Source organism: Homo sapiens, chromosome 1 (genome assembly GCF_000001405.40).
Source record: "Homo sapiens chromosome 1, GRCh38.p14 Primary Assembly".
Taxonomy (NCBI): Eukaryota; Metazoa; Chordata; class Mammalia; order Primates; family Hominidae; genus Homo; species Homo sapiens.
The window spans coordinates 84,116,310-84,138,277 of record NC_000001.11 but is presented as its reverse complement, the minus strand read 5'-3'; the positions used below and the strand labels follow the sequence as shown (position 1 = coordinate 84,138,277).

The 21,968-nt window shown below is 35.7% G+C and overlaps 1 protein-coding gene across 3 annotated transcripts in view, besides 1 other annotated feature; it reads right to left on the bottom strand.

The window, feature by feature from the left end:
• Window positions 1-21,968, bottom strand: part of PRKACB (protein kinase cAMP-activated catalytic subunit beta) — a 160,420-nt gene that overhangs the window by 100,221 nt on the left and 38,231 nt on the right. The gene's annotated exons all lie outside the window — the stretch shown is intronic.
• Window positions 15,214-15,363: an enhancer, noted in NCBI's record as "active region_1247". NCBI's record gives its function as "activates an Ori minimal core promoter by ATAC-STARR-seq in GM12878 lymphoblastoid cells {active_cell/tissue: GM12878}" and the evidence as "EXISTENCE:reporter gene assay evidence [ECO:0000049][PMID:35858748]".

Below are 21,968 nucleotides of genomic sequence, written 5' to 3'. Positions count from 1 at the left end.
CTCCTATGTCCCTTTGATATACCTCCATCACTGTGTATGTGTGCATGTGTGTACACCTGTGTATGTGTTTGAGCACATCCTTACTTTCTAGCACTGCAAGATGCCCCATGCTCACTTTGTGTATTTCCTGCCCCAGCCCTTTTAGAATCATCCATTTCTCCAAGGAGCCTTAGTTCCTTTTACTGGAGAATGGTCTTAGAAATCAAGATCTGGCAAGTGGGTACATTCATCTACTGGGGTGTTGTTGCTTCTAGGCCCTCTTTTCTGAGAGCAAGGAAATATACGTGTATACTAACATTTGCCTATTCCCTTATCGATAAGTATTTCCATATGTAACTGTGTCTATAAGCAAAGCATGAGTTCATTCTGGTTTCCAACTCTAATGCATTACTACATGATTTCTTCTAGCTGCCTCCCCTTGCTTATCTGTAAATCCTACTCAAATAGAGAGAAACCTGGCTCCCACCATCCACCATCAACTTATTTACTTGTTCAATTTCAGTATATACATATAGAAATATCAGAATTGTTAACCTGGTAGGTAGGTTAACAACTTTATTCCCATGGAAAATAACTTTATCAACTAGACTACAGTACTCTTTTGCCTCCAGTCTTACGGACTCCACTTATTTTCAAGGTAACTTAAGTCAACACATTTCAACTCCATTTGCTTCAGTAGGTTGTTTCATACATTTGTACTACAGTTATATTATTTTTTCACCTCCTGCATTCCATCCTCAGATCCATCAACCTTCTAAATGAGTTTTTTTAAAGTTTGCGTACATTAAGACTTGTTCTTTGTGCTGTAAGTGCTGTGGATTTGGACAAATGCATAATGCCATGTATCCAATAATTTCACAACCCTAATTAATCCCTTGTGTTTCCCTGAACCTTGGCACCTAATGATATTTTTTACCACTGGTGAGTTTTGCCTTTTCCAGAATGTCATATAATTGCAATTATAAAGTATACAGACTTTTCAGTGTTTTTATCACTTAGTAATATGTATTTAAAATTTATCCATGTCTTTTTACGGCTTTATAGCTCTTTTATATAATTCAATAATATTTGATCATATGGATGTATTAGTCTGTTTTCATGCTGCTATAAGGAACTGTTTGAGGCTGGGTAATTTATAAAGGAAAGGGGTTTGATTGACTCACAGGTCAGCATGGCTGGGTAGGCCTCGGGAAACTTACAATCACCCCAGAAGGTGAAGAGGAACCAAGGCACCTTCTTCACAAGGTGGCAGGAAGAAGTGCCAAGCAAAAAGGGGAAGAGCCCCTTATAAAAAGATCAGATTTTGTGAAAACTCACTATCATGAGTACAGCATGGAGGAAAACACCTCCATGATTCAATTACCTCCACCTGGTTTCTTCTTTGACACATGGCGATTATGGGGATTACAATTCATGATGAGATTTGGGTGGTGACACAAAGCCTAGCCATGTCAATGGATATATCACAGTTTATCCATTCACCTACTGAAGGACATTTTGGTTGCTCCCAGTTTTTGGCAATTATGAAGGAAGCTATAATGTGCAGTTTTCATGTGCAGGTTTTTGTGTGGATATTGTTTTTAAATCGGTTAAATACCTACAAGTGTGATTGCTGGATTGTGTGGTAAAACTATATTTAATTTTTCAAGAAATTGCCAAACTGTCTTCCAAAGTGGTTGTGCCATTTTCATTACCACCAGCAACGAAAAAGAGTTTATGTTGCTCTGCATCTTTGTCACCAATCGGCAGTCAGAGTGAGTGTGTGTGTGTGTGTGTGTGTGTGTGTGGTTTTGGCCGTTCTAGTAAGTGTACAGTGGTATCTCATTGTTTTTAATTTGCAATTTGACAAATAATATTGAATATCTTTTCATATACTTATTTGACATCTATATCTTTAATAAGATGGCTATTCAGATTTTTGCCTACTTTTTAATAGGGTTGTTTGTTATCTTAGAACTGATTTTTATTTTGTATATTTCACCAGTGAATTCATCTGGTCCTGATTCTTTCTTTTTCTGAAAATTATTAATTATAATTTTTAAATAATCGATTCAATTTTTAAAAGCTATAGAAGCATTCAGATTTATTTACACTTGTGTAAGTTTTGATAGTTTGTAGGAATTGGTCCATTTCATTTATCAAATTTTGGGGCATAAAGTTTTTCATAGTATTCCTTTATTATCTTTTTAATGCCCATGGATGCTTCAGTGAAGAAGATCCATCTTTCATTTCTGATATTGGTAATTTCTATCTTCTTTTATTCTTCCTTATCCTGGCTAGAATTTTATCAATTTTATTTATTTTTTTCAAATAACTTTTAGTTTTGTTGAATTTATTGTTTTCCATTTCAATGATTTCTGCTCTAATTTTTATTATTTCTTTTCTTTTGCTTGCATTGGGCTTAAATTGCTCTTCTTTCTCTAGTTTTCTAAGGTAGAACTTTTTATTACTGATTTTAGATCTTTCTTCTTTTCTAGAACCTGCATTTAAGGCTATAAATTTCCCCTAAGCACTGCCTTTACTAAATTGCAAAAAAAAATTGATAAACTGTACTCTGATTATCATTTAGCTTAAAATATTTTAAAATTTCTCTGGAGGCTTCTTTGACCCATGTGTTATTTAGAAATATGTTCTTTAACTAATTTCCAGCTTTCTTCCTGTTACTGATTTCTAGTTTAATTCCACTGTAGTCTAAGAACATACTTTGCATGATTACTATCTTAAAAGATTTGTTAAATGTGGTTTATGGCCAAGAATGTGGTCTATCTTGGTAAATGCTCCTATAAGCTGAAGAAAAAAATGTATATTTTGCTCTTGTTAAATGGAGCATTTAATGAATGCTAATTACATCAAATTGATAGTACTGCTCAGGTCAATTACCTACTTACACTGATTTTCTGCCTGCTTAATCTATATCAATTATTGAAAGAAGAGTGTTGAAGTCTTCAACTATAATAGTGGAGTTGGCTGTTTTTCATTTCACTTCTGTCAGCTTTTGCTTCAAGTATTTTGATACTTTGTTGTTAAGTTCATATATTTAGGATTGATAAGACTTTTTGGAGAATTGACTGCCAAATACGTATGTAATGCTCCCCCAACCTTTTTAAATCCCTGATGTTTATTGCTCTGAAGTTTGTTTTCTCTGAAATGTATACAGCTACTTCAGCTTCCTTTTGGTTAGTGATTATATGGTATATCTTTCTCCATCTCGCTCCTTTTTACCTTACCTATTCTTTATATTTAAAGTGAGTTTCTTACAGACAATGCATAGCTTGCCTTAAAAAATCATAAAAGAAAAGATGAAAGTAAAATAAGAATCTTTTATTTTTCATATTCCCCACTGATCTAAAGGAAACTGTTTAAAGTAACAATAGTAACAACATACTGGGTGATAATTTCAATATGGACAAGGAAAATGAATAACTGCCATGTCATAAGAGATGGGAGGAAGTCTTGCTTTTCTAAACTAAGTTTCGTTTTTTATCCACTCTGAACTGTCTTTTAATGGATGTTTACACCATTCACATTTAAAGTGACTACTGACATAGTTATATTCCACCTTGTTTGTAACTGTTTCTAACTGTTGACTTTATTCTTTCTTCCCCGTCCTATTTTTCTTCTTCTTCTGGTTTTAAATGAACATTTTATGATTCTATTTAATCTTATCTCTTAACATTTCACTTATATCTCTCTTTAGAATCCTTTTTAGTTGTCCCGCAGTTTGCAGTATTCATTTTTAACTAATCTAAGTCCACCTTCAAATAACACTACACTGTTTTCTTTGCAGTACAGGTACTTTGTAATAGAGTATTCCCAAATACTTTCTCCTATCTCTTTTAACATTGCAGTCATTCATTTCCCTTATCCATATGGTATTATTGGTAGGAACAGGAGGCAGAAAAATTCTAGGCAGAAAAGGGCAGGGTCCCCAGCGAAGGCCCCATCCTCAAGCCTGGAAGCACGGCCCAAAGTGAGAACATACATTCCTGTTTTCTCACTTGAATGTTGCCTTTTCCAAAACCACCCATGGCCTGCCCTGCCCCAAATCCTATACCCATAAAAACCCCTGACCCAGCTGGCAGAGAAGGAGAAGCAGCCAAACATGGAGAGGAGAAACAGCAGCTGAACGTTGGAGAGAAGCAGCTTGACTTCAGAGGAATGGCTTGACAGTGGGACTTTGGAGAAGAGTCTAGCCAGAGAGACTTCAAGGGGAGACTACTTTCCCACTCCATCCTCTTTCCAGCTCCCTTTCCCGCTGAGAGCCACTTCCATCAGCAATAAAATCCCCCACACTTACTGTCCTTCAATTCATTCATGCAACCTAATCTTTCCTGTACGCAGGACAAGAGCTCAGGATACACAAGGCTATCACACTCTCTGAACTTGTGAACAGGCAAAGGGTCCACTGAACTGTTAAACACTTAAGCCATCCATGGATGGCAAAGCTAAAAGAGTACTGACTGTAACATTACTTCTGGGGCTTTGAGGGGTTGCAGGTACTCCCTCACTAGGTGTTGCCATGGCCCGCATGGAGTTTGGCTCCTGGCAGTGCCCAGAAGCACTCGTCTTGGCTCCTGCACTGGCTCAGCTGTGCTCCCCCTCCCGCAAGGGGTAGAGGGCAGCAGATCTGAGCGAGTGAAGCCGAGTAAAGCCAAGTGAAGCAGAGTAAAGCCAAGTGAAGCTGACCAAAGCCGCCAACTAGCTCCAGCACCAGCACTCCAATTCCCCCACCACCACGAAGGCATCAGGGAAAACTTCCTGTTTCATTATCACCCAGCATGTTGTTCCTACTGTTACTTTATACAGTTTCTTTTAGATCAATGAGGAATAAGAAAAATAAAAGATCCTTATTTTACCTTCATTTTTTTCCTTTTATCATTATTTTCCTTTCTTTATGTAGATCTGAGTTTCAGGTCTGTTGGCAATGAATAACCTTAGTATTTGTTTGAGAAGGTATTTATTTTATTTGTCCTTCAGTTTTGAAGGTTAATTTCACAGATATATAATTATAGGTCAGTTGGTATTTTTTTTCTTTCAACTTTTAAAATATTTTACTCTACTCTTTTCTTGCTTGCATGGTGATGAGAAGTCTGCCATAATTCTTATTCTGTTCTTCTATAGGTAAGTTTTTATTTTCCCCTCCAAGCTCTTGCTTCTTCCAAGATTTTCTCTTAGTTTTTGGTTTTCTGCAGTTTTTAAATATAATGTGCACGGTTTACTTACTTTATCATTCATTCTGCTTGATATTTTCTGAGGTTCCTGGATCTATATTTTAAAGTCTGTCATTGATTTTGTAACATTCTTGGCCATTATTACTTCACATATTTCTTCTTTTTTCTTCCTTCTTCTTCTGGTATTCCAATGATAGATAAATCATATACCTTTTTAAAATGTCCCACCATTCTTGGATGCTCTGTTTTTGTTTTCTCATTATTTTTTCTCTTTATATTTCACTTTAGGGAGTTCCTATTGACCTATTTTTGCCTCACTGATTCTTTCCCCAGCAGTGCCCATTCTATTGATAAGCCTATCAATGGCATTCTTCATTTCTGTTATAGTGTTTTTTATGCCTAGCATTTCCTTTTGATCTTTTCTTAGTGTCTCTCTGCTTTATGTATCTCCTGTGCTCTTACATGATGTCTATTTTTTCCATTATGGCCCTTAACATATTAATCATGGTTTTTTTATATTCCTTAGCTGATAATTCGCATATCTGTAACATCTGAGTCTGGTTCTGATTCCTGCTTTATCTCTACAGACTGTTTTTTCTTGCCTTTAGGTGTGCCTTCTAATTTTTTTTGTTGAAAGTTCACCATGTTGCATTGAGTAATAAGAACAAAGGTAAACATATGATGTGGATTTGTTAATCTGGCCAGGAGGTAAGCTGTGTTTAATGTTTGCTATAGATGTCAGAAACTTCAAGTTCCTCTAGTATCCTTATGTTTGTCTCATCCATTGACTTTGAGCTTATCTCAGTACTATTCCTCAGAAAAAGAGTCCATTCTTGCAACTCTTCCAGCTGAAATGCATTGTTATTATACCAGAGCTCTGTTGGTATGGTAGTAAGGTATGGGGAATGAAATACAGTCTATAATTTTAGGATTAAACCTTTATTTTTTACTTTGCCTATTTTCTCTGAGCTGTGACCTTCATGGGCTTTTCTCCAGTGGTATACATTTTCCCCCACTGAAACCGACACAGGAAGGCTAGAGTGAGCTGAAGTGGGAGAAATGCCCTCCCCAAACCAGGATAGGGGTCTAATAATATATTTTCCCCTACAGAGTAGACCTTTGTTGGAGAATACTCTGGGTATATTTCATAATGATTACCCTCCCTCTCTCTGCAAGAACTACGAGGGGACCTTTTCCAGGATCTTCATCAGAATATGAAGTACCTGATAAAATACATAGAAGCAAAACCCATGAAAGTGTGGGGGCCTCCCTAAGACTGCTGCTCCCAGAGGTGTCACACTCCCATGTTAGTCCACACTCAGCCTCCAGCAGTTTGTCAAAACTATCATTTAAATGTTCCCACCAATTTATGGCTCCAGTGGCTTTGGCTCTAAGTAAGCAGATCTCGGCCATGAGTCTCTGGATTTGCTTTTCTCTCCAGATTTCAGGCTAGTGGTTGCCCTGCAATCTCAGTTCTCTGATGGGGGGAAGAAAACAACAAAACACTGATTCTCAATTTTTTAGCTTTATCTTGTAAGAATGCTAGTGGTAGATTCTAGGTTCTTTACATGTCACTGCTGAAAATGGAGTCTCTTCTCTCTGTTTTTCACTTCCATTTCTCATTCTCTGCCTTCTTTTGAATTACTTGAACATCTGCAAATTTGCAGAGTTGCTTTTTTCCCTTTTTTTGATGTTGTTCTAGAGATTTCAGTATATGTACTTCATTTTTCAAAGTCTACTTAGAATTAATTTTTTTTTTTTTGAGATGGAGTTTTGCTCTTATTGCCCAGGCTGGAGTGCAGTGGTGCCATCTCGGCTCATTGCAACCCCTGCCTCCCAGGTTCAACCGATTCTCCTGAGTAGCTGGGATTTCAGGCACGCGCCACCACGACTACCTAATTTTGTATTTTTAGTAGAGAGGGAGGTCTCTCCATGTTGGTGAGGCTGTTCTCAAACTCCTGACCTCAGGTGATCCCCCTGCCTCAGCCTCCCAAAATGCTGGGTTTACAGGCGTGAGCCACCGCACCCAGCTAGAATTAAAATTTTATCACTTCATGGGTAACTTATAAACCTTACAGACATTTGGTTCTCTTTAAAGTCTTCTCCTTCATATTATTAGTTGTTTCCGACCTATACACATTGGAAACCCCAACAGACAATATTGTTAACTTTTTATTTCTACCATTATACATATCTTAATGAACTTAAGAGGAGAAAAAACAATTTATTATATTTATCCAGATATTTATTATTTTTGTTGCTTTCCTTTCCTTCATGAAGTTCCAAGTTTCTCTCTGGTATCACTTATTTTCTGTTTAAATAACTTTCCTTAGCATTTCTTTTAAAGCAGCATTGCTGTTGATGAATTATCTCTTTGGTTTCCAGTAATTTGGTTATATCTTTGGATGTTGTTTTCTTGGCATTCACTAAGCTTCTTCAATCTGTAAATTTATGTCAGTTGCGAAATTTGAGAAGTTTTCAGCCATTACATATTCAATTTTTTTAGAAATTTCTGCAGCAATCTCTTTCCTCTTCTACTGTGATTTCAAAGACCTGTAGGGTTAGACATTTTTATATTGTTTTACAGATTCTTAAGGCTCTTTTCCCTTTATTAAACAAATGTTTTCCTGTTGTTTACAATAGACAATTTCTCCTGATCTTCTGTTCTAATTCACTGACTCTTTTCTGGGTTGTCTCCATTCTTTCTCATAATTTGAGGTACTTGTTTGGTCATTGTTGCTACTGCCACTGACACAGGAGTGCAGTTTTAGGAGTATATCTTGTCTCAAAGCAGGACCAGAAAACAAACAAACAAATGGAATTTCATTGATTTTTTTCCTTGTCACCAGGGATTTCCTTACAGGGTCTCTCATTAGAGAAAGAGAGTTTCTCTTTTTTTTTTTTTTTTTTTTTTTTTGAGACGGAGTCTCGCTCTGTTGCCTAGGCTGGAGTGCAATGGCACGATCTTGGCTCACTGCAAGCTCCGCCTCCCAGGTTCATGCCATCAGCCTCCCCAGCAGCTGGGACTACAGGTGCCCGCCACCACACCCAGCTAATTGTTTGTATTTTTAGTAGAGATGGGGTTTCACCCTGTTAGCCAGGATGGTCTCCATCTCCTGACCTCGTGATCTGCCTGCCTGGGCCTCCCAAAGTGCTGGGATTACAGGCGTGAGCCACAGCATTTTCTGTCTGAATCCACTGTACAGTTCTGGAATTCTGACTGCCTTGAGTCTAAGCTGGAGGATGTAGGAAGAAATTGCTAAAAGCAGGAAATTCACTACTGTATTTGTCTCTTTTCAAGTTTTGATTTCCCTTTCCAATCTTCCTGCTATATTTACTTTTCAAAGTCTTTCTACAGCTACTTTATGTATTCTGTTCAGAATCTTTTTTAGGCATAATCAGTGGGAGGAATAGAGTGATGTGCATTTACTTACTCCATCTTAATTGGAACTAGAAGCTAATCTCATCACTTCTGATTTTAATAATTTAATAATAGATTTAGAAATAAAAAATGTAAAAGATAAAAGTTTTACTTTCAACATGCTTCACCTTAATCTCAGTGTGAAATTGACATACATTTTTCTGAGTAAATCCACAGTAAAGTTGTAGTACTTTTGTCACAGTACTTTATGAGACAAAAAGTTACATGCATACATTTCTTTAAAAAATGTAATTTTTATACAAAATTTCATGATTACTACTATCAAGTATGGTGTCATTATTAATATGAAATTGATTCACTCTTGGCAAACTGATATATTTTCAAATACATAAACAAATTTTCACAATTACACTCCATGTTTTTTATCCTTGAACTCACCAGAATACCTAAAATTATAATAGTAATATATATCTCAAAGTATAGTAAACTAAAAAAGTTTATAATTGTGCTGAATATTAAGCAGTAAGTTAATACAATATGCAAAAACAATGATCTTACTATTCAACATAAAAAGAGATATGGAAATTTATTTAATCTCACAATTCTAATGTAAGAATATTCAATTGCTCAAAACATATGCTGTACATTGAAAGGTAAGTATTCTCTAATTTTTCTTCCAGGAATTCAAATTGCTTTTATTCATATGTTTGAGTCTAGGGTACACTGTCCAATATTATAGTCACTAGTGACACATGGTTACGTAAATTAAAATTAAATAAAATTAAAAATTTAGTTCCTCAGTCACATGAGCCATGATTTCAAGTGCTCAACAGCCACATGTAGCTAAATGGCTACATGTGTAGACAGTGCCAACATCAAACATTTCCATAATCACAGAAAATTACATGGGCAAAACTGGGCAATAGGAACACACATAATGCTGACAGATATGCCACTTTTTAAACTAATCAGTTACCTCTATAATCTTTGGTTTCCTCTTCTGCTGAACGAGATCATTAATAACTTCCCTGACTATATCACTAGTTTTGTGTATGGCTCAACTAAGAGAATATACATAAAATTTCTTTGTAAACTGTATTACATTAATACATCTGATTAATAAATATATGACTATTATTTATTTAAATTAAAGAAAATCAAAGTACACTTCAATATCATATTTTTTCAAATCGTTTTTTAAAAGTCTAAACACTGGAAGCATGCAAACAACCAAACTGTTCAAACAAGATTTTTAAAAACTATTCTGTTATAACATATGAGCATGAAAATCGTGGGTATGCCATAACAATCAATTTCTGCAATTTGGACAGAATGCTATAGACCCAAATGAACAATTCCAGTGAAATCAAGACAATATTGTTCTTCAACATGAAAGCTGTCAGTTCTATGTGTCCTATACTGTCTAAAAATCTTGTATGCTAAAACATCTTTTTTTTTTAATTTTGCTTTTTTGCAGCTAAGGTACATACATTAAAGAAATAATTCTAACCAACATGGTGGAACCCAGTCTCCACTAAAAAGACAAAAATTAGCTGGGCGTGGTGGTGGGCGCCTGTAATTCCAGCTACTCAGGAAGCTGAGGCAGGAGAATTGCTTGGACCTGGGAGGTGAAGGTTGCAGTGAGCCGAGATCACACCATTGCACTCCAGCCTGGGTGACAAGAGTGAAACTCTGTCTCAAAAAAAAAAAAAAAAAAGAAAAAAAAAGAAAAGAAATAATTCTAACAAAGAATAGACTGGAATCTGAGGAATCCTGAGCAAAGCCTCTTTATTTTTTACACAATGTAAAATTTGGCAAATTGGCTTACTTTAAACAAAAAATTCCCACTAAGTACATATTTATCCTTAAAATAATTTTATGATTTAAGTATAGGAAATATTATATTTTCTTCAAAACATAAAATATATTCACTAGAAGTAAAATAAAGTAGTAATCAAGTTAGGAAAACAGTAAATATAGTCAATTGAATGTGTTAGCAAAATAACATTTCAAAAGTCAGAGTCCAACAGAAAATAAGAACTAAATTTATTGTCTATAGCTATCAAATATAAGAAAAAGAAAAAAAACCCGCAAAATTCATATTTATCTCACACAGTAAAAATAGCTCAGTAATGTGCCAGGAATAATTAGACTTTTATGGCAGATGATTAATTGTTTTGAACTCATGCTGTTTACCTAATTAAACTATTAGTAATACCAGCAGGTAAATTAACTTCATACTTCTTTTCTGGAAAGATAGATTTTTAATACTGATACAGTTGAATATCCCTCCTGCAGAGCTGAATACACAAGCATTTTTGTTTTCAATTTTTTTTCTTTCCAACAAAGAAATGCTTTAGCTCAATGTCGTATAGGTAATTTTAAGGAGCAGGGGAAAATTAGGATGCTTATTAATGATAAGCTTAAATTACATACAGCTATTTTAAGATTTTATTTGATAGATTACTATTTTGTAATTGTTCAACTTAGCAGATAATTCTACTCTTTGGTCTTCCTCCCTATTTATCTTCATCTCATGTACAAATGTACATTTTCTATAATGTGTTTCAGGTAACATACACAGCTGTCAAGACCTGAAGTACAAAGAAAAGAGGAACTTACAGAAAGATGGAAGAAGAGTATGCCATGCAGATGAAGCTGGGAATTAAAGACCCAGATAGAGGAATAAGGCAAAAAGAGTATGACTACTAGGAAGAGAATGGATTCAGGAATCTTCTGTGTAGGTGGAAGGTAAGAATGGAAACATGAAAAATAGTTAAGGACTACTGCAAAAGTCCAGGCAAGAGATGATGGATACCTGAACTGAGGTTGTGGTGGGAAAGAAAAACAGACAGATTTCATATATATTTTTGAAAAACAAGGAGATTTGATGATTCATTGAACCCAGAAAATTAATAAAAGTAATAAAAGATAATTCCTACTTTTTTTGGCTTGAGCATGTGAATAAGTAGTGATGCCAGTTATTATTAAGCTGGGGAAGGGTGAGGAAGTGATATAGACAGGAGGCGGGGAAATACTGGGTAGAAGAGGGCAGACCCCAACGAGGGCCACACTCTCAAGCCTGGACCTGCAGTCCAAAGTGAGAACATGCATTCCTGTTTTCCTGCCCAAATTTGCCTTTTCCAAAACCATGTTGGCTGTCCCCACCTCCCCATCCTGTACCCATAAAAACCCCAAGCCCCACCAGCAGAGTGGCAGAGTGGCAGAGGAGAGAAGAGAGGCAGCAGAAGGACATCAAAGAGAAGCAGCTTGACTTCAGAGGAACAGCTTGACAGCAGGACTTCGCAGAAGAGTTCCACAGGGGACGGCTGAACTCCAGGAGAAGACCACCTTCCCACTCCATCCGCTTTCCAGCTCCCCATCCTGCCAAGAGCCACTTCTACTGCTCAGTAAAATCCTCCACATTCACCACCCTTCAATTCATTCATATGACCTTATTCTTCCTGGATGCCAGACAAGTACTCGGGTACCAAGAGGGCGGGTGCAAAAGGCTGTCACCCTGACCCTCCACTGATCTGTTAAACACTTAAGTTGTCTGTGGATGGCAAAGCTAAATGAGCACACTGTAACACATGCCCTCTAGGACTCCGGAGGTCACAGGTTCCCCTCCCCTCCCCCCCACCCCCCAGGAAGCTTCCACTGGACTGCACAGGATTCTACTCCTGCGGATGCCCAGAAGCACTTGTCCCAGTCCCTGTACCCACTCACCTGCATGCTCCCCGTCCCGTGAGGGGATGAGAGCTGCGAGCTGAGTAAACAAGTCAATCCCTTTGTGAGTCCCGCGAAGGGGTCAAGGGAACTATCCCATTTCTGAAGGAAGGGGCTGGAGGGGTGTTGTAATAAAAAATTCTATTGGACATATTAAATTTGAGATGCTTACTAGACATACAAATGGAGATTTCAAAAAGATAGCTGAATATGAGTCTGAAACACATCACTGCCTTCTAAATTTTATTTTAATCATATGCATATCTGTTAACAACTAGTTTATACTTCTGGTTGTATTAGGGAAGAAAGATGGTTTAAATTTTCTTTAACTATTAAGTAGATCCTCCTCTTAATTGTGACTGAGTCTTGAAATGCATACCAAAGGTCGTAGGCTCTCTGTACTTCCTCTTCTTTCTAAACTCCCGATGGATTTCTGATAAGCAGAATGCTCCCCCTATTAATTCCATCTACTGCCTGGAAACTGTGGATATGTTTCAATATATGCCTAACTGGACTCTGCGGATGTAATTAAGGCTACTAATTAGTGACTAAATAGATTCCTCTGGATTACTTAGGTGGGCCCGATCTAAAAAAATTTGCTCTTGAAAGCAGAGAACCTTGTCCAGCTAGGAGCAGAAGAGAGCCATGGCAACATGTCATGAAATTTCACGTGTGAGAATGATCAGCACACCATTACTGGCTCTGAGATATTACAGCCTATGTAGAAGCACCAGAGAGAGGGCTCTAAGAGCTAAGGGAGCCCCCTAGATGACAGTCAACCAAGAAACAGAGACCCTAGTCCTATAACCATAAGGTACTGGATTCTGCCAGAAGTATGGATCAGCTTGGAAGTAAATTCTTCCCCAGAAACTCCAGATAAGAGCCTGCCAGAATTCTGACCTACAGAACAGTGAGATAATAAATGGGTGTTATTTTAAGCCACTATTTAAGCCACTATTTAGTTATAGCAATAATAGAAAATTAACACAAGACTTAAATGTAATAAGGTGATGGGGATGAGGAAAGTGGGATTCTATTTCCAGAGTACTAAAATGTATGAAATATGGACATGTGAAACTCCTAGTCATGGTTGATGTGGGCACTGTCTCCCTTTAACACTTAGAGCCCTTCGTGTTGATGAGAAAATTTCATTGATCTACTAACGCCCTAGCCAAGACTATAGCCAGGTAGTCCCATAACTAAATCTCCAGATGGGCTTTCTAAATACCTGAAATGTGAAGATGAAACTTCTTCCCTCAACCACCACTACCACCACAGAAATGGTGCAGGGCATGGGATAGTCACTCCTTTCACTCACATGAGAACCCTCAAGAGCACTGATAGGGCAAACTGCGAACCTCAGGCATTTGACTGCTAGTGTAGTTGCCTGACTCCACAGCATAAAGAGGTGAAGGTAGGGGGCTATAGGCTCAGACAGCAACATTACAAATGTCCAGTTTTAAAAAACACATATTTCCCCTTCACCCATAATTACTACGATAGAAACCCAATTTTCACCATTCAGATAATAACCTGAAAACCTCACTCTTCAGATAATGTGTGTAAAAGCATTCTGGATATGAAAGGCTGTAAAGTTATACTAATACAAAATGTAAGAAACTTCAGGTAAACCAGTAGTCAAAAATCATGCATAGAAGTTCCATTTATGTAAGACGACTTTCTCCTAGCTAATTCCTACTTGTTAATCAAAGTGTAGTTCAATGTTATTTCTTCTCTTCTAGTTCCTAAAATATATTAACACCCACGTTACTGTACTGACCACATTGTAGTAATTGCATGTTTATACTTCTTTTTGTGAGTTTCTCATATCATTTCTTACCAGAATCTAACACACTGATGATCACACAGTATACACTCAATAAATGTTTTTAAATTGATTAATTTCTTCAAGATACCATAGCTTTTTTATGAGATAGCTTTAGGTATCTAAAAGATGAGTCACAGACAGAAATAAAGGCCCTTTATTAGGCCCCAATATATCACATATATTTCTACACTACTTTAGGGAGCTATGCATTTCCAGTCTTCAATTTCTCTCTTTTAATTTAATATTATTGAGTGTAAAAATGTTAAGAAAATACAAAGCTTACTGCCTAGAATATTTTGGAATCCATTTATATTAGACTATGTAACATATTCTAAATGTTGTAAGATTGACTATAACAATGCTAACTTATTATATGTCAGATATCATTCTAAGTGTTTCACATGAAGTAAATAAAGCATTTATTCCTCACAACAATCTACCTTTATATTGGATATTATTATCCCATTTTCCAGAGTGACAAAGAGGTTAAGTGTGCTGCAAAAGGTCACAAATTGCAACATTTTATAGCGTTCTACTTTATTTTCTCTATCCCTCTCCAAAAAGTTTATCAAACCAATTTTAAATGAATTACATTTCCAAAAGTTTTAAGCCTTCCCAAATTCTTTTTTTTAATAAATGGCAATATATAGAAGTGTCACAAAACTAGAGGTTTAAATTACTAAGATTTTGTTAGTACTTTGTTGTTGTACATATGGTTTCTCCTTTTATTTTAGAACTCTAGTAAGTGATTACTGAACCCATTAGTTTCTCTATAAGGAATTGGTGCTGATTTCAGTAACTTTCATTTCTATATCACTCTCCAAGTAACTTTCTTATGATGATTCTGATAAATAGCTTACCATGTTGATACAGTTTTAATTATCAAGTAATATCTGAAGAAACTTTAGTATTGCAGAAAAGTCAAAATTAACTACAACTCCATACCCTGGGAGAAACAATCTCATACATCACTATGTGGTATTCTATTCCAATAAATTCTAACACATTTTAGAACTATGAAATAAAGGTGAGCCTGAGGCACTAGAACTACATTATTGCTTAAACTGACCCTGTTTTAAATCACCCAGGCCCCAAATATATGGTCTGCTGCCAACCATGGCAGAACGGTTAGATGACACTTACCTCACAATATTATAAGCTACGGAGTCAGCCAGAAGGTGGCAGAATGGGGCCATTTAGGCTTCACATACATACCAGAAAAATCTTTTATTGTCATTACCTTAAATTTTAGCAATATAAGATAAACACAAGTTTAGGTTATTATACAAATAAAAGTGTAATGTACCAGAAATATGCAATAACATTATTTTATTTATACAAATCAAACTATAAAATTCTCACATAAACTACCATATCAGAAACTAATATCCATTTTCCCTCTCATAAATCTATTTATACAACCCATGAAAAAATTAAGTCTTCCAAAGATCCCCCATATAATTCCAAAACGTCCTTTTAATTCACTAACAATTTAATGGAAAAATACTAGTAAACGTCACATTACATTTAATTTGGTAAGTTCAATCATAATTACTATATAATGGCAAGGTAAAATCTTTTATAAAATCTCATATAACTTTTAAGAAAACAGTTGTTCTTATATTGAGCTGGTTTAATGCAATTTAGACACTATGACTTAATATATGGCAGATTAGCCATATGATTCTTCTATTACATTTGACTGTTTACAATGGATCTGTTTATCTCTGCATTCCTGGTACCTATCACAGGACTTAGAACACATAAACCCTCAACTGAGAAACATTTGCTCAATTGAGTATAAGATTTCAAAGAGAAAACTGAAGGCCAAAAGCAATTAAGCAGACAGCTAAAACACCAATTTGTCTTAACATGGTTATTTTTATTTTTCTATCAGGTGACCAGCCTTCCCAAATGAAAAATAAAACCACCCACAGAAACTAGATTTTAAAGCCAGATCTGCCAACATTAGCCAATTTACATCAGAGGGAGAGGCTGAAGAGTGCTGGAGAGAATTGTTTTGGAGCAGTTATGAGGTATGCAACACATTCAGGGCAGGAGGTCACCCTTACCTCAAATCAACTGAGGGGCTTCAAGGAAACCACTCAGAGACTTAACATGTACCCTATCTGCTAGGATTTATAAGAGTTAGGGACTGTTTTGGGGGGACTCACCAAATGTACAAAATGTAAAGGTACTAAATGGTAGATAAAACCACCTCTGCTCAGTGGCAGAGTGAAAAGAATTATGTTGAGAGGGGGCTCAACTTGGAATAGCAGGGAAAATACATTTATGTCCTATAGACCCCAGAAAAGAGAGTGTGTGCAAGGGAATCATAAATTGCCAGCCAGAGGAGAGGGCTTCTCTCACAAAGAGAACTGAAATCTGAGGGCCACAGCAGGTTTACTGTGAAGCTAACAGAGATTAAATTTCAGGACCTCTCAAGTGCAGGCAACCCTTCTAATACCCTGGGAGAGATTCTAGCATTGTGTTCACAAGGACACATGCTTTTGTAAGACTTGCAAAAGTAAGATATTTTAATAGCAATTGGTTGAGATTGCTGTCTCTTTTCTCTCCAACTTCCCCTTCTTCACACTTTCCATTATGTCAGGTGCTAATGGAGTGGCACCAGGCATTTTAGAGATCTGAATAAGGGAAAGTTTAGGGGTAATGTACAGTTTTAGCTACGATTGGCAAGAAGTTTGGGGATTTTTCAATTAAAAAGTTAAAAATGACAGACTTGTGATTTGAATGTGTACATATATATGTATATGAATATATATGTATAATACATGAATGTATATGAGGAGTACCTCCTTTTTCATCTTCAAATTTATGTATTAAAAAAACAAGATAAATTTAGAAGAAACATAATGAAATATGAAAGAGATTATAAAGAGGAGACATAAAATCAATAAAAATGTTCCTATATAGAAAAGTGAATTCAAGTTATTTTTTGTAACAAATACACTAAATCATGAAAAAAGGAAAAATTCCAAATAAAAATAATGAATAGGCATGTTGTTTCATAATGTAATTAATCAAGAGAATATGAACATGTTAGAAAAGATGTTTAAGTCTCTTGGCAATTGACACAAAATAGTAACAATAACAAAGATACATAAAACTCGTGATAGCTAGTACAAGAACATTAAAGACAAACTATTAGTGATTATTGTTACTTCAAAAATTACCTAAGATCAAGATTTGAAAAGTCTTGAAATCTTGTAGCTCATACACAAAAGAAACTTCTCAGGGACCATTACCTGGTGTTTCTTCAACCATAAAAAACAAGTATCTGGGAACCAGAAGGTGGAGGTGGGAGTGGTAGATATCACCACCCTATTTCACTGAATCTATGACTATCAATTATAAAAATCACCATTATATCATGTACCACTAAGAAAAAAAAGAAAAATGTACAGCAATTAAACTATGAGATACTTTGTCAGTTATAAATTTTTTCCCTATTAAGAGAGAACTATTTTTGATTTATTTAGACATAACTTTTTAATATCACTCTTGTAAACATATGAAGTGAAAAAAATTTTAAACTTGTTAAGAAATTCCTAAAATGCTTTCATATTCATAGTCTGACTCTTCCAGACTATTTTTTGATGCACAGTCATTATTGTGTGTTTTTACACAATTATTGTTCTTTATATCAAAAATATTGATACAGTATTTTTTGAGGCGCTCTACTACCATCTCCTATATTTTCTTCCAACCTGCTGATACGCATTTTCATGTTTGTGCATGTATAGACAATAACAAGCACATCACAAGAATTGCCTGACTGATGTCATCATTTTAGGAAGCATCCTAATTTCGAATACACTAAAATGTGAGACAAAAGTATGTATGTCAAAATTAATGAACTATAGTATGATAAGTTACCCATTTGAAAATTTTCTACTTCTTGTCTCTGTAACTTTGGACTCTTTAACAGTTGAGACATTTTAATACCCTTGGAAGTACTCTTCAAGAAATATGAATTTAGAAGTACTCTTCAAGTATGGGGAGTACCTGTAACAATTAATCCCTTGAACCAGAAGTTTAGAGTGCCAGCTGGGCATTCTGGTCACATTTCACTGAAAAATACAGGCCGAAAAGGAAAGTTACTTCTGTTTGAGTGATTAATCCTGGTTATTACTGAGACATAAAGTTGTGTTATAGATGGAGGTGGGGTACTTTCTTGTAATTTGCATATTGAGTATAAAAACAGAGAAGACTTCAGTATTCCAATATAGGAAACACTACCAAGGTCTCAATGATTCAAGAATGATGGTCTAAACTACTACCCTGAAAAAGAATCCCTTCTACACTTATATGCTGCAGTGGGAAATTTATAGCAACTTTCAAACAGAACAAGGACTATAGCAGCTACTCATAAATGCCACCTTGCTATGCTATATGTGTGCCTATGTATGTGTGTACATATAAACACATCAATTTCCTTCTTGCCTTTCCCCAGGAATTTTACATAAGGCGTGGTCATTAACTTTATAATTTAGTACTAGGGCTGTGGAAAGTCAAGGTGATATTATGGCTAAATGATATGAGTGAATATCATCTAGAAATTGATATACGGGCTGATGGATTTTTAGATCTCTCTTTTTGGGTAGAAGTTGAGTGTTTTCATTTATATGAAGGACAGTAGCATTAAGTTAGCTGTAGAATAGTGTAATTGCCATTCTTTGAAAGCATCAGTAGAAGGGTATAAATAGGTGATGAACAGCCAAAAGAGTGGACCATGCTGGATATTGTAAATTGGTTCATTCAATGTCCCTTCCATTCTCCTTCTTTAATAGTTGGACAGGTTGGAAAGCTATAAAATATATTTCCTGGACTCCTTGTTCTTAAAGTTTTGGATAAAAATAAAGTTCTCCCCACTAGATGCTCTTCTATGATATTTGAATATGTATTTCTGATGACAAGCATGGTCATGGAAATAAGGTTTCTCAGAAGTATTTCAGTCACTTCCAGCTCCAGCTTCTGAACAATGAAAAAAATCATATTCATACTGTAAGACAGAGAAAGACATGGCAGAGGCAGAGAGACAAACACAGAAAGAGGGAGAAAAATATATAAATCTAATGACATCATTTGAGGTCCTGGATACTGCAATGCCTAAATGCTGTTTCACCACTTGAACTTTGAAGTTACCTTAAAAAATTATTTCCTTTCTGTTTCAATCAGTTTGAATAGGGTCTCTGCTTCTTGCAACTGAAACTCATTAAATATATATTCCAAAAACAAGAGTATTTCTTAGATTATCCTACTTTTGATACATATGTCAACTACTTTTGGTATATAAACTCATCTCTAAGAGCTGCTAGGTAACAACAGAAATGACTTCCCACCTTCCTCAACTGAAGAAGTAAATATTATTATAAGTGATCCTTAAGTCCCCTCTGTTTCCAAGCAGAGTCCTAGGTTTTCCTACTGTAGTCACTGATGCTGTGTTTCAAAGGTCAGTGTCCTTGGTGGGGAGCTGTTATTTCACTCTTTCTGCTGTTCTCAGGTCTGCAATGCCATTTTCCAGGCTTTCTTCTTCACTTTAAGCTTTATATTAGGTAACCAAAGAGAATGATGGCTGTTTTATATTTGTTTCTTAGATTTTTTCTTTTGTCACTCTTATTCCCAGCACCCAGAAATACTATTATTGATATTTTGGAATATTTGCTTCAAGTCCATATTTCTGTCTGTAATGTTAAAATGTATACATTTTGAATATATTATCTATTATCTATTTAGAAAATTACAAATAATGGGATTTTGGTACAAGATGGCTGACTAGAGATGTGAGACACCTGCTCTCTCCAGAAAGAAGAACCACAATTATGAATAGATAATCATACTATAAATAGAACATCTAGGAAAGAACACTAGAGTACAATGGAGAACACACAGGGAACATTTGAGGCACAGAAGGAAAAGGAAGCAAGTGGCCCGCTTGGTCAAGATTGGGTGGGAGCCTAGAAGGGCTCCATATTACAGGGACAGCATAAGTGACAGAACTTTAGCAGTTCACATCTCTACCATGGACTGCTGTGAACTAAACCTCAGTAGAACTCCTTTACCAACAGGAATGCTGAAACTAGCATGGTTGGTGACTTGGAGATTGTGTGAAGGCATTGCATCAGACAAGGAATTCATGCTGGCTCACTCACTCCACCTAAGCATGAACAGCTGCAGCAAGGTGCCATTTTGGGAGCACAGTCATCATGGGAAGTTTTGCAGCAATAAATGCTCATTATCAAAAAAGTAGAAAGATTACAAATTAACATATAACAATATACTTCAAGAAAATAGAAAAGCAAGAACAAATTAAACTCCAAATTAGCTGAAGAAAAGAAACAAAGTCAGAGCAGAATTAAATGAAATAGAGGCTTTAAAAACAACATAAACGATCAACAAAAGTTTAGTTCTTTGAAAAGACAAACAAAATTGATAAACTGCTAGCTATACTAACCAAGAAAAGCGAAGATGCAAATAAAATCAGAAATGAAAAAGCAGACATTACAACTGATATCACAAAAATACAAAAGATCATCAGAGACTATTATGAACAACTAAATGCTGACAAACTGGAAAAGCTAGAGAAAATGGATAAATTCCTGGAAACATACAACTTACTAACATGAAATCAGGAAGAAATAGAAAATCTGAATAGTTCAATAACAAGCAGAGAGATTGAATCAGTAATAAAAAGTATCTCAATAAAGAAAAGACAAAGGCTGGATGGATTTACAGCCGAATTCTACCAAATGTACTAAGGATAACTAATACCAATCTTCCTGAAGCTATTCCAAAAGATCAAAGAGGAAGGAATTCTCCCTAACTCATTCTACAAGGTCAGCACCAATCTGATACCAAAACCTGACAAAGAACAAAAAAAGAAAACTACAGGTCAACATCCCTGCTGAACAGACACAAAAATCCTCAACAAAATACTACTAAACCAAATCCAATAGCACATCAAAAAGATAATAAGCTACAATCAAGTGGGATTCATTCCGGGAATGCAAGAATGGTTCAACATATGCAAATCAATAAATGGGATGCACCACATCAACAGAAAAAATCATTATTATCTCAATGGATGCAGAAAAGACATCTGAAAAAAAAAACTCAACATCCCTTCATAACAAAACTCAACAAACTAGGCATAAAAGGAACATATCTCAAAATAATAAAGGCCATACATGCCAAACCCACAGCTAACAACATACTAAATGGGGAAAAGTTGAAAACCTTTCCTCTAAGAAATAGAACAAGACCAGGATGCCCACTTTAACTACTATTATTCGACACAGTGCAGGAAGTCCTAGCCAGAGGAAACAGGCAAGAGAAAGAAATAAAAGGCATCGAAATTGGAGAAGAGGAAGTCAAATTGTCCCTCTTTGCTGATGATATGATCTTATACCTAGAAAAACCAAAGACTTCACCAAAAACTCCCTGATTTGATGGATGAATTCAGTAGAGTTGCAGGAGACAAAATCAACATACAGAAATCAGTAGCATTTCTATACACCAATAATGATCTAGCTGAGAAAGAAATAAAGCCAATCATATTTAAAATAGCTACAAAAAGAATACCTAGGAATAAATTTATCCAAGAAGGTGAAAGAGCTCTGCATTTAAAACTATAAAGCACAAATAAAAGAAATTGAAGATGAAAAAAGTCCATGCTCATGAATTAGAATTAGTACTGTTAAAAATGACCATACTTCCCAAAGCAATCTACAGACTCAACATAATCATATCAAAATACTAACATCATTCTTCACAGAATTAGAAAAAATAATTCTAAAATTCATGTGCAACCTAAAAGGAGCCCAAATAGCCAAAGCAA